Source organism: Homo sapiens, chromosome 9 (genome assembly GCF_000001405.40).
Source record: "Homo sapiens chromosome 9, GRCh38.p14 Primary Assembly".
NCBI classification, from domain to species: Eukaryota; Metazoa; Chordata; class Mammalia; order Primates; family Hominidae; genus Homo; species Homo sapiens.
The window spans coordinates 79,774,509-79,790,653 of NC_000009.12; positions in this window are offsets into that span (position 1 = coordinate 79,774,509).

Below are 16,145 nucleotides of genomic sequence, written 5' to 3' on the forward strand. Positions count from 1 at the left end.
TGAATGATTGAGGAATTAAGTTGATGGTTTTGAATACAATTCCAGCTGAGCAAGAAAGTCTGTGGCAATTAAAGAATTCTTAGTCTGAGAGTAATGGGCATTCCCAGAGAAGGCAGCAGGGTTAAGTCCTGTAGTAAAAGATGGACCCCGAACTTTGACCCTACCTGGAATTTCAGAATGCCATTGTGGCAGATGGCATTTTCCAAAGACAGCTACTACAATCTCTTTTGTCTCTCATGCTTTTCTGCAATGTGAACTTCTCCTCTCCTATCAAGAGGTTGAGTCTGATTCTCCTCCTCTTGAATCTGGGTGGACTTGTAACAGCTTTAACCAATGGAGTATGCAGAAGGGATGCTGTGTGGTTTCCAAGGCTGGTCATAAAAGGTGAGGCAGCTTCTGCATTGTTGTTAGAACACTCTTGTTTTATTCAGGGTACTTTCTATGAAAATTAAACTGGTACCATCAAGGAGGAGCTAAACCATTTATATATCACATCTATCTATATAATCTATCTAGTATCTATGTGCCTATCTATTTACCAAAAAGTACCCAAGACAAGTCTCAATTTAGAGATTTATTTTGCCAAGGTTAACAACAATGGCCTGTGACACAGCCTCAGGAGATCCAGAGAACATGTGCCCAAGGTGGTTGGGTTACAGCTTGATTTTATACATTTTAGGGAGACAGACGTTACAGGCAAAGACATACATCAATACATGTAAGGTATACATTGGTTAAGCCTAGAAAGGTGGGACATCTTGAAATGGGGACTTTCAGGTCATAAGTGGATTCAAAGATTTCCTAATTGGCAATTGGTTGAAAGAGTTAAGCCCGGCCTGAAGAGTTGAAGTCAGCTTGAGTTAAGGTAAGGGGTGGAATTGGTTGTGGAAACCAAGGTTCTTGTCATGTAGATAAAGCCTCCAGATAGCAGGCTTCAGACAGAATAGATAGATGGTGAATGTCTCTTATTGGACTTTAAAAGGTGTCAGACTCTTAGTTAATTCTCTCCTGACTCAGGAAAAGACTGGGAAAGTGAAGGGAATTCTCTACACAACGTAGATGTCCCTGACAAGAGATAGCTTTGCAGGGCCGTTTCAAAAGATGTCAAAAAATAGATTTTAGGGGTAAAATACTTTGATTTCCTTTAGGACCTATTATCTGTCATGTGATGTTATACCAGCATCAGGTTGGAGTTGGTGGTCTTATTGCTACAAAGAGTCTGTTCTGTTAGTCTTAGAGTCTCTATTTTAATGTTAATATTGATCGGTTGTGTCTGAAATCCAGAAGGGAGAGGGTATAATGAGGCATGTCTGACCCGTCCTTCCTGACATGGCCTGAGCTAGTTTTTCAGGTTTCTTTAGAATCCATTTGGCTGAGAGGGAGGTCCATTCAGTTGGCTGGGGGGGGTCTTGGAATTTTAATTTGGTTTACATATTCATCTATCTATTCTCTGTCTTTATCAATGTGAGAGAAAAGTGTTTCTATCACAATTCATTCTATTTTACTATTTTTTATTTTACTGTCAGTAAAATTATAGATACGTAAAATTTTTTATTACAAAGGATCAGAATAAAAGTTGAAGTTGAAAATGGGTATATTTGTTTATTTAGAAGACAATAGAGAAAGGAAAAGGCTAGTTAAAAGGGAGGAAATATTGTGCACCACCGTAAAAGAGTCTAATGTTACTCTTCCACAACGTCTTGTATTTTGGGGGTTTTCTCCATCTCTTAGGCTTCCCTTACTCAGTTTTTTTTTGGTAGTCTCTTTTTGCTCTAACTTACTTTTTGATGGTTTCCATGGTTACTTTGAAGGCCCTGTTTTCCTTCCTTTGTCTTCCTTTTTATTCCCATATTTCCCTTCCTTTCTCTTTCCCTACACTCTCCAAGGGTGAGCTTATCCCCTCCTTTGGCTTAATTACTATTTATTGCCAGCAGCCATTAACACTGCAAACTTTTATTGAACGCCTTCTGTGTGCCAGGCATTCTTCTAAGAGCTAGGGATACAGTTATAGCTTAAATTATTTAGTGGTTTTATGCTTGTGAAATTTATTTTCAACTGGCAGTTATCACCAGAAAAATTCAAGTATCATTGTATATATTTATATTAACATAAAGTATGTGTTCTGAAGATGAGTGTTTAGGAAAGAATGAGTAACTATTAGCAGCTTGAGCCACAGACATTTCCCACGTCTCTTGACTTGGAGAGAGTAGCTCTTTGTTCTTGGAATTAAGGTAGCATGATTGATGAGAAAATAATTTTCCCTTTTGACACATATTGCACTGAGTAGGATGCAATTGGGAAGTCCTCTATGATGACAGCTATTAATGGCAGAAAATCTGCTTGAAGCAGATTCCAAGAGAAAATAACCAGGAAGTATCACCTTACTTTGTTTGGTCTGCTTGGCTGTCATACCTGCGTTGCTGGTTAAACTGGATCACTGTGAGCCAGGCTCCTGGACTTTAGATTAATTTTGATAGACTTTTTTCTTGGTCTGGGGTTGTTTGGTAATATTGATAGAGACTTTCGAGAGGAATAACTAGAAAAAATACCATGAAGCCATTTGTACACTTGAAAGCAGACATCTTTGGTGTTATTTATATTGAGTATATACTATTCCTTATTTTGGGTTATGTACGAGGACATTCTCGGCCTCCAGCAAATTCTAACCCTAGTGTAATTTGTAAAATTATTTGTCTTGGAAAAATACAGAAAATCACATTTTAAATTGTTATGTAGCTTTTATTTCCAATCCACTGAAGAACTGAAAAATCAACATAAAGCTATACCCCATCAGTGCTATGTATTTATTATTTCGACTATGTGACTTTTCCATTTGGAAAAGTCCATCTAAACCAAAATAAACAGTCAACATCTTTTCATAGACTGTTTGCTTCTAGACTTTCTGCATATTTGATATGTTTTGTTATCATGCTGTTTAGGACTCTTTTTCCTTTTGAATTGAAGACACCCAAGGACCTTGTTCTGAAACTACCCTCCATGAAAGCAGCTGGTGGTCTGTTGCACACACAAAGAGCCATTAACTTTGCAAAGCTCAGCCTCCTCTTCTTACATCCATGTTCTGCACTGTTCTCAAATGCCAGTCGTTACTAATTGTCTTCAACTGTGTCACTCTCTTGAGGGCCCTTTGGTATTAAAACCTACAGAAAAATTTCTCAATCAGACCCAACCCTGGTGATGGGTTTTGTTATGGGCCATTACTTTGAGTTTCCTTTTGTTTTCCTTGGTCAAGAAGTTGCCAGCTAACCTGAGAAGAAATACAGATGCATCTGTGATAGGAATGGGATAGAAAATAGGAGAAATTAATAATGTAGTGGAGTGCATCTTTGGGTGATGGCAATATGCAAACTTATAAAATTTCTCTGAGGCATAATAACTTCTGAGTATAGCAGAGTAGCAAGAGAGAGAAGGAACAAACTCTTACAGAAATACCTACCATGCACTTTGGGAGGCCAAGGCAGGTAGATCGCTTGAGCTTGGGAGCTTGAGACCAGCTTAGGCAACATGGTAAAACCCTGTCTCTACAAGAAATACAAAAATTGACCAGGCATGGTGGTATGCACCTGTAGTCCCAGCTACTTTGGAGGCTGAGGTTGGAGGATCACCTCAGTCCAGGGAGGTTGAGGCTGCAGTGAGCTGTGATCGCACCACTGCACTCTAGCCTGTGTGTCAAAGTAAGACCCTATCTCAACAAACAAACAAACAAACAAATAAACAAACACCTACCATGTAACAGTCTCTGTGGTAAGATTTTCCTAATTTTTCTCATTTATATCTCACAACAAAACTAAGACGTTACTATTATCCCTAACTCACAGATGAGAAAACTAAAGTTCAAAGATATGAAATGGCAGAGCCAGGATTTGACCCCAAATTCAAATCTAAAAGCTTAACTTGTTTCCAGTTTACTAATGTTAGGGCTCAGAAAAAAATACCCCAAAGTATGGTGCTTTGGCATCCTGAGTACTTTGAAAGCGGATTGGAGGGCCTGAGAAGCAGCCTGAGAAGAAAAGTTCTCTTGAACCTTCTCTTGCTTTCCTGTCTTTCGCTGTCTTTCTCCCCCAAAACAAGACATGGAAACCAAAATTCCTCTTCCCCAAGGAGGTCACAGAAGATAGAACCTCTCTCTCACAAAGCAAGCCATAAAACCTAGAAAGGTCACTCTCTCTCTTGTCCCTTGAAGACTCTTATTCCATAGGGGACCTGCCCATACCTAGGGGAAAGAATGCTACACAGAGAGGCCAAGAAGAATCTGAACAGACAGGCCTGGCCAGACTTCCTTCCTCAGTCTATTTTCATTAGATTATACCCTCTGTTCAATCACATTTCTACATGCTGTTCATTCTTCTTCGAATCTAAGCTTAAAAACAGATAGATTCTGCACCCCACCTGCCCCCCCATCAACCTCCTTTGATCTTTGGGTCTTCATTTCTTTCTTTCTTTTTTTTTTTTTTTGAGACCAAGTCTCACTCTGTCGCCTACGCTGGAGCAATCTCAGCTCACTGCAACCTCCGCCTCCCGGGTTCAAGCAATTCTCCTGCCTCAGCCTCTCCAGTAGCTGCGATTACAGGCGCCCACCACCACACCCGGCTAATTTTTGTATTTTTAGTAGAGACAGGGTTTCACCATGTTGGCCAGGCTGGTCTTAAACTCCTGACCGCAGGTGATCCACCCTCCTCGGTCTCCCAAAGTGCTGGGATTACAGGTGTGAGCCACTGCGCCCAGCCTGGGTCTTCATTTCTAAAGGCTCCCATGCTACATAAAATTTGGATTAAATACATTTGTTATGCTTTTCTTGTATTAATCTATTTTTTGTTGTAGGAGTGTCAGCTGTGACCCTTTTGATGGGAAAGGAAAGGCACCATACCTTTCTGCCCCGCTCTACAAACACCGTACTTTATATGGTATCCCCTGATTATTTCACGATGACTCAAGAAAGGGTGGGTCAAGACATCCCCACAAGTGCTTTAAATGTGACATTTGACCTCCGTAGGTGAAAATAACCAGAGGAAACACCCTCACAGAAAACCAGGAAAGCAAGTTAAGGTTTTCGAATGTCAGCCCAAGATACAGTCTTGACACTCAGATTGAGAGTCCCTATTTGCACTATAAAAAAATTGCCTCAAAACCCATGTCTTTCATTCTCCTATTATAACCATAATAATAATAATAACAATATTAACAATAATAGTAATTTTAGAAGGGAATCACTATGCTGGTTTTTCTGTGTGTGGAAAGAAAGGTGAAAATGCTGCACCTTGATGCTGTGGGTCTCCCCTCACCTTACACTAATTGGCTTCCGGAAGCTTTTTCTCTAAGTCTAAATTAGAAACACTCTACCTGGTGCTTTCAAAATGTGAAGATTCTTTTTGTTGTTGTTGTTAAGCAGTTCTTAAAAAAAAAAAAAGGAAAGAAACTTAATTCAAAGTTTAGTTTCAGTATGCTTGAATTTTAATCTCACATTTCTTAGCTGAGGCACATTTTTTCTTTTGGATCAGAAAGCACTCCTGGCTGCTATCGACAGTAAGAAATACCGTCCTGAGACAGATGTCTGTTTCCTCTGCCAGGCTGGTGTGGAAGCCGACCCATGTCTCCTCCCTCTGCTGAATATCGGAGGAAGCAGAAAGGAGGTATCAAGCTTTCCACCCAAAACATTTTTTCTCACCCTAATGCTCTTGCCATATCCAATGTCTTTTAAAATAGCAGCAAAATGGCTCTGAAAGTCTATGACGTCAGCCTGAGGTCGGTCCCTACGAGCTCTCTATTTATGAATTGTGCCTATACTGAGAGCGGGGCAAGCTTTGAATTAGGTCAGACCTGGATTTGAATCTCAGTCCTAATACCTTAATTAAGCAGCTTTGCCTTTGCATAGTTATGGAACACAGTGTAGCATAAGACCTTTCCTGAGATCTAGGAATTTCAATGAAGTCTCATAAACTAAAACAATGGGTGGTAAGTGCCCATACTTTGCAAGAAATGCTGACATTTCTAAGTAGACTTCCTTAGGAAGCAGCTAGACTCATCATTTCACAATTTGTCCCCATTGCCCAGCTTCATTCTATAAAAGAAAAAGTTAGGTGATACAGCAGAGAAGAGGAGGATTCATTGAAGGGCATAACAGGCTTAGAAAATGTCAGAGTTTTTCTCCAGTACTCCCTTCTTGGCCTCAATCTCTGGAAAACCATTGTTAGAGAAAAGGGCCATCTGATGGAAAGAAAAATGGACATTTCACAATCCTGTTGTTTGCTTTATGGACTAGAGCAGAGATCAGCGAACTTTTTTTGCAAAGAGCCCAATAGTAAATATTTCAGGTATTGTGGGCGTTAGGTCCTTGTTGCAACTATTCATTTCTGCTGTTGTAGAGTGAAAGGTGTCATAGATAATACATAAATATGGCTGTATTCGAATAAAATTTTATCCTCAAAAATAGACTGGTCAGATTTGGCCTGTGGGTCATAGTTTGCTGACCCCTGACTTACAGATTTATCCTTTAGTTCTTTTGGTTGGATCACAAATGAATTCCTGGAAGAATGTCTGATGGGTATATGGGAAAATAAAGACTAGAGTATCTTATGATGGCCTTGTTGGGAAAAATTGTAAAAGGTTTTGAAAGGAGCAAAAAAGATAACTGGGTCTTTTTAAATAGAAAGCTAGACATTTCCTAGAACATTCTCCATAGTTGTGTGATTTCCTGGGGTCTCTTTCATCCGCTTTGAGTAGCTTTACAATGCTGTAACTTATAGAAAACTGAGTAATGCAAATTATTCCTGTCCATAGACATGCGAGTGAACTTTGTCTAATGGAGAGGCGCTTGATTTCCCTCCCTTCTCCAAAGAAGCAAGTTTTATATCTAAGGAAATTATTTTTACTTCAGCATTATTAAGGGCCTAAGTGTAAATCTGCATTTTGGATTCTTTTTTGAACTGATTCTAACATCTTACTGGTTCCCTCATTAATTAATGACTTGCAGATAATCTTTATACATGCTCTTTTTTTTTTTTTTTTTTTTTTCTGAGATGGAGTCTCAGCCTGTCACCCAGGCTGGAGTGCAGTGGCACCATCTTGGTTCACTGCAACCTCGGCTTCCCGGGTTCAAGTGATTTTCCCTCCTCAGGCTCCTCAGTAGCTGGGAATACAGGTGCCCACCATCACGTCCAGCTAATTTTTGTATTTTTGTGGAGATGAGGTTTCACCATGTTGGCCAGGCTGGTCTCGAACTCTTGACCTCAGGTGACCTGCCCATCTCAGCTTCCCAAATTGCTCGGATTACAGGCATGAGTCACTGCGCCTGGCCTATGCATGTTCATTTATATTTATGTGAGAGTCATGATTTCATCCTTTTATTTATTATTTAATTTTTTTTTAGACATTTCATCCAGGCTGGAATTCAGTGGTGTGATCTTGACTCACTGCAACCTCCACATCCCGGGCTCAAGCCATCCTCCCACCTCAGCCTCCCAAGTAGCTGGAACTACAGGTGCACACCATCACACTCAGTTAACTTTTTAAATAGTTTTTGTAGAGATAGGGTCTCTCTGTGTTGCCTAGGCTGGTCTTCAACTCCTGGGCTCAAGCAATCCACCCACCTCAGCCTCTCAAAGTGCTGGGATTTCAGGTGTAAACCACTGTGCCTGATGATTTTATCCTTTTGAAAGCAATTATTCTTTAATAGCCAGGAAAGGAGAGAGGACACAGAGAAAGTGTGTTGGGCATCTCTTGTGCATCACTTCAGATGTTTCTTGGCCACCTACCTCTCACTCCAATCACTGCTGCCCTTTCCTACAGGTGCAGTGAGACAGGTCCTGGCCTCAGGCCCACACTGCATCCCCTTCCCTTCCTGGCCTTCGGTTTCTCTGATATAGTGACCCTGAACTCATTTATACTCAACTTGGAAATGTAGGGGGTTAATACCAGTGGGGCCACACGTGGTCAACCAGGAATGAGAGACAATAGATAAATGTTTTCCGCTTTCCTCTGCTTACCCGCCACCCCCAAACCCTGGCCACCATCCAACCAGCTCCGAGATGCATTTCAGAAAGGTCCATAGTTGGCCATGACAGGATGACCACCCCTGTCGTTCACTGGGGTCAACTTCATAAAGCATACCTGCCGTGGCTCTGCTTCCTTCTGTTTCTTTCTAGCTCACCTGCTCTCTTGCTTCCTAGGATTGTAATCCCAAGTTAACTACCTGCATGCAAGCCTCTGTCTCAGGCCCTACTTTTAGGGAACTCAGGCGAAGACATGCAGAGGCCTGCACTTGAATTGTTTGTTGGGACAAGGATTCACAGTGTTTCCTGGAGGCTAATTGACCCTGAGCAGGACAATCAAAAGTGAACGCTGTTGGAAAAATGCTGTCCGGGAGGAATGTTTGCTGGGACGACGGGGTCCCCACAGAAAGAGATTGCATATGGTGTACAAATAGAGCGTAAGGATTGAGGTGGAGTGAAAGAAACAAGCTTGAAATTGCATCCCTGACACTGGGGAAATGGTCTAGTGGGGAGATCTCTGAGGAGGAGATGAAAACATTTACAGTGAACCCCACAGAAGAGCCAGAGTTTGAATGACTGCTTTGCAAGAGCTATTAGGCATATAAAAAAGAACTATAAAAAAGCATCAGCCAAGAAAAAAGCTTATTCCACTTACTGCTCTTGACCGTGGAGGAGCCACAGCCAACAGGATGAGTAGGTGAGGAGCTGGATTAAGGACAGGGAGAGAAGAGACCATGCCTCCTCTACTGTCCACTCATGGTCTGAGAAATGGTGGGTTCAGATTAGGGGTACAGGACGGGAGAAGTTCTTAATTGCTAAAGAGATTGAAGTTTTGATTTGGACTGGATTGGATTTTTCTTTTTTTCTGAGACATAGTGTTGCTCTGTCGCTAGGCTGGAGTGCAATGGCGTGATCTTGGCTCACTGCAATCTCTGACTCTTGGGTTCAAGTGATTCCCCTACCTCAGCCTCCTGAGTAGCTGGGACTACAGGCACATGCCACCATGCCCGGCTAATGTTTTGTATTTTAGTAGAGATGGGGTTTCACCATGTTGGCCAGGATGATCTCAATCTCCTGACCTCATGATCCACCCACCTCTGCCTCCCAAAGTGCTGGGATTACAGGTGTGACCCACCGTGCCCAGCTGGATTGGACTTTTCAATATCTGAAAATGAAACTCTTTCAGTGCCTAAAAATGACTGAAAATCTGTAGAATCTACCTCAGGTATTGTCAATGAACAGGGAATGAAAAGCTGATGGTATTTAAGATGGTCTTTCTTGAGTTTGTCCCATTTGAGAAACCAGTTACAGCAGTGCTTTAACATCTCTGGTTTTATTTTTCCTGTCTTTAAGATGGGGATACCAAACCTATCTTATAGTTTATTTGTAAGGATTCAGATGCTTGGTGTGGTGTATGTTGACTAACTGATTCACTAAAAGAGAGAATGAAGGCACATACTTGCCCAGGCTGTGGCTGTTTTTAACTTCATGATGAGACTCCATTGGACAGATATTTTTACTCTTCGAGTGATCTCAACTCAAATGATCATCATCAAATTTTGCCACCTTCCAACTCTTACAGACTTTCTTGCTTTAAATACTGTCTAAATCATGAGTGTCCCTTTCTCAGGTAACTCAATTGGATAGATAGGATATTTTGATTGTGGCTTGGATGACATTGTTTCAGTTTCTGTATTATTCCATCAGGGTAGCCCAACACTTTTCCCATCATTTTTTCCTGATGCTCCTCTGTGTAGTTTCCCCATTGTTACCTAAGAACATTAAGGAACATTTCTGCCAAACTTAGCAACAGTATTAGTAAGGAGCAAGGGGCTGCAGTGGAAATTTTTTATTCTCAAATGCTCTACCCTGAAGAATTGACTGCTGGGAGCATATACGTAAATTTCTGCTTAAAGTCATAAGATGTTATTTGTCACTCAATCAAAATAAAGATGTCATTTTTAAGATGAATTTACAGAATTGCCAGAACTTAATTTTTCTGAGTGAAGCAGGAGATGCCTCCCTCTTTGCTCCACTGTGCTTCTGACTTACACTTTGTTCTTGTGTTTTTACCTTGCTGAGAGAAGCGTATGACAAAGGATTTTGTCTGGGGACTGTGGCCAAGTATGACTTGAGAACATTTTCCAAAACCTCCACTATCAACAGGAGATTATCTCCTCACCCCCACCTCTGCCATTGTCTCTTCCATCTGAATTTACTTTGTACATTTTTTTTTCCAGAAGAGAGAATAGTCTCATTTGGGAAATCATAAGAAAAAAATTCCTTCTGTGATGTTGGTGATTATACCAATTGCCCATAAAGCATTTACAGAAGAGCTATGCATATCCTGTCTTTAATTCCTGGAGTGTGCAGAGTCTCACCAGCAATAGCACATCTCCCACCAGGCTTGATCCAAATATGTGCCTGTCTCCTTTGAGGCAGAGAGGAAGTCTAGAAAATGACATGTCTATTTGGGTGACTGGTGACTGTGTGGAAGCATATATAGCAGCAAGTCTCCAGTAGGGTTGGCCTTTAGCAAAATATCCAAGTCACAAACATTTGGCACAGGTACATTTTGGTTATTATTTTAGCTTGCTTTTTTCTAAACCCAATCCCAACCTCACTTCCATGTGTCCCAAGCTGCTCATGGTGCCTTGCTGTCTTCTCAGTCCTGCTACCTTTAAGAGGATGGTGGCTGGCCACACAGTCGTATATACTTTGTTGGAAATTGCTGACAATATATTCTAAGGTTATTGTTTATACAGGTAATTAATTTAAACAGGTAATTATTTTTCATATACCCCCTTCTTTTTCTTTATATTATTTTAAATTATAGAAAATACATGCTTTTTGTAAAATGTTACACTGATACAGAAGAAGATACAATAGAAATTGAACATCCTCTTTTATCTTCTCTCTCACTCCTCAATCACACACTCTTACCCAGAAGTAACCACATTTAAGAATTGATGTCAGTGGTCTATACTTCCTTTTCAGCTATTGTTTTTGACCTTCTTTTACTTAATTGAATATTTATTATCATGCCTACGGGAAAATAGATGAACACATTTAGAATGATATCTCTTGAATGTGGATATTTATGTGAATATTAGCGCAGGTTTGGTGGAGGGTAAAGAGCTATACTGTACCTGAATTCTAGCTTCTTTTGAGAGCTTTCCATTAATTAGGACAGGCCAATGTTTCCCCAGTTACCATGGCTAACTCAGTGCTGACTATCATACAGATTGGTTTTACAGATTATAACATTGGATATCAGCTTTTAAGAAAGATTATTTTAAAGAGTTTCCTTGTATTCTACGGTAAGAGAAAGACCCAATTGGGAGAATAAGAATGAGGTAAGGAATCTGAACTGACACCAAAATGAAAGCCTGTGTGCGGTGAGAAGCATTCAAATAATTTTTTAATGAACTGGTTCCTTTGACTTATTTTAAGATCTATATGTAGGGGGTAATAAATGCATGACAGGAATAGAATAGATGGAAAAAAATCAAACGAGATTCTGCCCCATTAGTTATGACTGACAAGGAAAAGATAATAGCCAAAATGCAAATGGAGTTTGTTAGCAGAGGGAGATAATGATAATGGGACTTTTACAAATATATCAGGGAAGAAATAGATAAAAGTTTTAAAAAAGTTCAATAATCAGTAGAGATGGGCATAACATGAATGACTCTAAAATGGCTGAGCTTCTAGTGTTTAAATTCTGTAATTATGAAAAGAAATAAAGAAGGAGAGTTTAGACCACTGATGAATAATGAAGAAAATTACAAACATGGCTGCCAAAAATGCAGGTAAGTGACAGTCTGTACTTGGAACTTAGATATATCAGCACATCTGGTTGGTATGCCTCCTCTTGGGTAATACGAGAATTAGCTACTGTGTTTACCAAACTACTTATGATGCATAATTTTTATAAGATAATTGTGCTGATTTAACATGAACTAAATATCTAAATGCATTGAACTCTGGAGCTGCCAATTTTCAAAGAAAGAAAGGAGGGAAATTTGAGTAACAAATATTTGAAGGCACCAGCTCCATGGTTTTACTCTTTAAATTGACCCCTTTCCACTATTAGCTCAGAAGGCCAATAGTTGAAAAGGATTATGCATAATCCCTTATCTGATGTGAATTTAAGCTAAGAAAATGTAGGCGCATTCTTCATCTCATTTCATTCTCTTTCTTATTTGTAAAAAGAGAAAAAAGCTGTGTTCATTTATTAAACTCAGGGAAATAATATGGAAGATTGTCTAGTCTCCAAAGCATGTCTCCACAGAGGGATCAATTGAAATATGGGAGAAAAACAGTAGTGCTTCTCTTTGTCTCTTAATCTTCTACTTCTATTAATATATTCTCCAAAATGAGAAATGAACTAAATTTACTGAAATTTAATTTATTGGTTGGCTTGGATATATTTATTTCAGTGTTCCACAAAAGAGGAGATGTTGGTAGACGATTGATGATTTGCTTGCTTTCAGCATCTTGCAACATTTTATAGCCAATCTGTTAAGTGATTCTATTTTGTAAAAGTAAGCAGTTAATTTTTTAGAAATGGGGGTCTCACTCTGTTGCCCAGGTTAGGCTGCAGTGGTGCAGTCATAGCTCACTGCAGCCACAAACTCCTGGGCTCAAGTGATCCTCTCACCTCAGCTTCCCAAATAGGACTACAAGCATGTGCCACCATGCTTGGCTAACTTTTTCTTTTTGAATTTTGTAGAGATGGGGTCTTGCCATCTTGTCCAGGTTGGTCTCGAACTCCTAGGCTCAAGCCATCCTCCTGCCTTGGCCTCCCAAAATGCTGGGATTATAGGTATGAGCCACCTCTCCCAGCCTTATGTGGTTTTATAGACAATGTTACCTTGTGTGCATCTCAACCTTTAGATGGCGAGGTGGATTAAAAGCTTCTTGCAAAGATACCAAAAATAAAATATGTTAGTAACAATGATGTAAGCAACAGGCAAGCATCAGAAAAAAAGGAGACAGAGCTGACATTTTTGCTACCCCCTACAATATGAGTTCATGGTTAGCCACTTAAGAAGTAAAAGCAATGAGAATCTAATTATCTAATTCTTAGACATAAAGCTGCAAAATTTTCAAGAAGACCTTTTGACATGTGAATTTATACCCATAACAAAGGTATTAGCTACTAATAGTATGAAGTCGTCATGATTGGCAGAATGTTTATAAGTAGTTTTATCTAACTTTGCTATAGTTTGTTTTGTTTCAGTCCTCCAAATCTCATGTTGAAATTTGATCCCTACTGTTGTAGGTGGAGCCTAATGTGATGTGTTTGGGTCACGAGGGTGGATCTTTCACTAATGGCTTGGTACTGTCCTTGAGGTTGATGAGTGAGTTCTTGCTCTATTAGTCCCCCAGAGAGCTGGTTGTTAAAAAGAGGCCCCACCTCCCCCTTCTCTTGCTCCCTCTTTCTTGCTGTGTGATCTCTGCACATGCCTGCTCTTGTTTGCTTTCTGTCATAAAAGAAAGCAGCCTGAAACCCTCATGAGAAGCAGATGCAGGTGCCTTGCTTCTTGTACAGCCTGCAGAATGGTGAGCCAAATAAACCTCTTTTCTTTATGAATTACACAGCCTCAGGTATTTATAGCAACACACAAGTGAACTAACACACACTTTATTTCATCTTTTAAATTTTCTAAATTTGCTGCGTATAAGATGTATAAATAAGTATCTATATTTCTGGAATGCTTGCTAAACATTTATTGATGGCATGCTGAATTAAAAATGCTTGAAGATCACTGTATGTGAGAATGCATTTTAAAAAGAGTTGCTGTAGTGATTCCCCAAGGAGTGCTCTATAAAGTGTATGTGTGTTTATTACCTTATATGTCATATTTAGGTGTAAATTTCATGTACACAGTTTGCAATTGCTAAATTCCTGTGCCTTTCAATGAATTCTTCTACAGGTTGGTCATGGAATTTTCTGTTCTTCCATGGTGTGGAAATATGTGAAGACCAACCAAAAGCAGAGACTCTTTATTCAGAGATTGTTATAGCAAGGGAGTCAGCTACCATTGCCTGCATTTTAGCAAAGACTTAAAGGCAGGAAGAAGGGTAGGAAAGCTCTATAGTGGAAAAAAGGGAAGGGTTCAGGTATATTCTGACTGACGGTTGTTGGCATGGGGAAGTTGGTAGGCAGGCTAACTAGAAGTGGGGCATCCTATGTGATTGGTTAGGGGTACGTATTTGGCTTTGTCTGGTTGATCTTAAGTTAGAAATGGGGACAGAAATGAGGGAAGCTGTCAGGTTAACCAAATTCTTGCCATTTTTTGCTGTTATAGAAGTTATCATTAAGCTTCTTGGATTGTTACTAGAGATAGGAGTCTGACTTCCTACAAGTCTGATTTATATTAGGCTGGCTTCCTGGATTGCTTTTGATAGGTAAAGAGTTGGTTTCCTGGGCAGGTTGCTTCAGGTTGTGGGTCAGCATTCTACTTTTACTTATGGTCCAGCCATTGTTCATTTGTATATTTATCTCTCAGTGCCTGTTTAGTTTTATGATGCTCCCTCTATGACTCTGCTTAAAAATGCCTTCCAAGATTTTGCATTAGTACTTTCTGTTTTGACAGTTTGCTAAAAATTATACAAAATGATTTAAAATAATTTCCACCTTCTGAATGTTGCACAACGAAGACAATAGCGCTGAAATCACTGCTCTGGATACTGCTGGGTGCATGTTAATTCTTTCCAGCCTTTGGGGAAGTAGATCTACAGCATCTATAAAGCTCTGTTCCAGAGGGTCTCTGGGGTCTTCCTAATGCTGGGCCTAAGTAGAATAAGTGTGCTAAAAAAAATTAAGTATATTCCACTCACAGGTGCCCAGCTTCAACTATAAAGATGTTTATTCCAAAAGGCAAAGTTCTTCTCATTTTCTTAGGATAAATGTATCAAATTGAGATAAAAATTATATTGCTTATTAAGAAAAAAGAACATTTTAAAAATACCAATTTTAAAATCTATTGAAATCACCATGCACCTTGGTTCTTAAACAAGTATTTATTAAATTTTATTAAATATATTAAAAGTTTTAGCAATACTTTCTCATGAAAGGGAATTTGGAGCAAACAGAACAGTGAAAAGAAGATAAAAAGAGTTATGAAACCCAAAGGAATTCAGCATTATTTGAAAGTATTTCCTTCTAGTCTTTTTTTTTCTAGGTAAAGAATTTAAAAATAACATGTAAATAGAGCCATCGTTTTCCAAGTTTTGTTTTTTTTTTTTGTCTTCTTGCTCACTTCAACATATAGAGCATTCTGTTCTTACAAAAAAGTTCTACAAAGCATTCCCTGTAATTCTGCCCCATTCATCTTATACTCCTTATCTGGCTTAAGTGAGAAAATAAGAGGAGAAGGTAGCAGCTCACTTGCTAGAAAACCACATTGAATTGTGTCATTGTGTTTCTGTTCCCCAACCTGTAGACTCAGGAGGAATTAAGGGGAAATGATGTGATTAGCCTCTTTTCTATATAAGCCAAAAAAGATACATGCATATTCTATTAAGACTTCCCTGCTCTATCCTTCCCCTCTCCTACTGTTTCCACAGCAGCATGGGTCCTGAGGCTCACTTGTCTGACACCGCACAAAAGGAAAGAGGTAGTTGTACATTGATTCAAAAAGGGTGTGAAAATACCTGTATTATATGGGAAGACATAATATGCTTATAAGTAGGCCAAGTGTGGTGGCTTACACCTGTAATCCCAGCACTTTGGGAGGCCAAGGCAGGCGGATCACTTGATATCAGGAGTTTGAGACCAGCCTGGCTAACATGGTGAAATCCCATCTCTACTAAAAATATAAAAATTAGCCTGGCATGGTGGTGCGTGCCTGTTGTTCCAGCTACATGGGAGGCTGAGGCAGGAAAATTGCTTTAACCTGGGAGGTGGAGGTTGCAGTGAGCCAAGATCACGCCATTGCACTCCAGCCTGGGCAACAGAATGAAATCCTGTCTCATAAAAACAACAACAAACAAACAAACACAATAATAATATGCTTATAAGTAAACATATTTTGCTATTTAATTTGAACATGATGTCATTGAACACAGTATGAATTTTATTTTTGCTGGTATTTTCAATGCATGCGCTCCCTAACCTCTTTTGTCCCT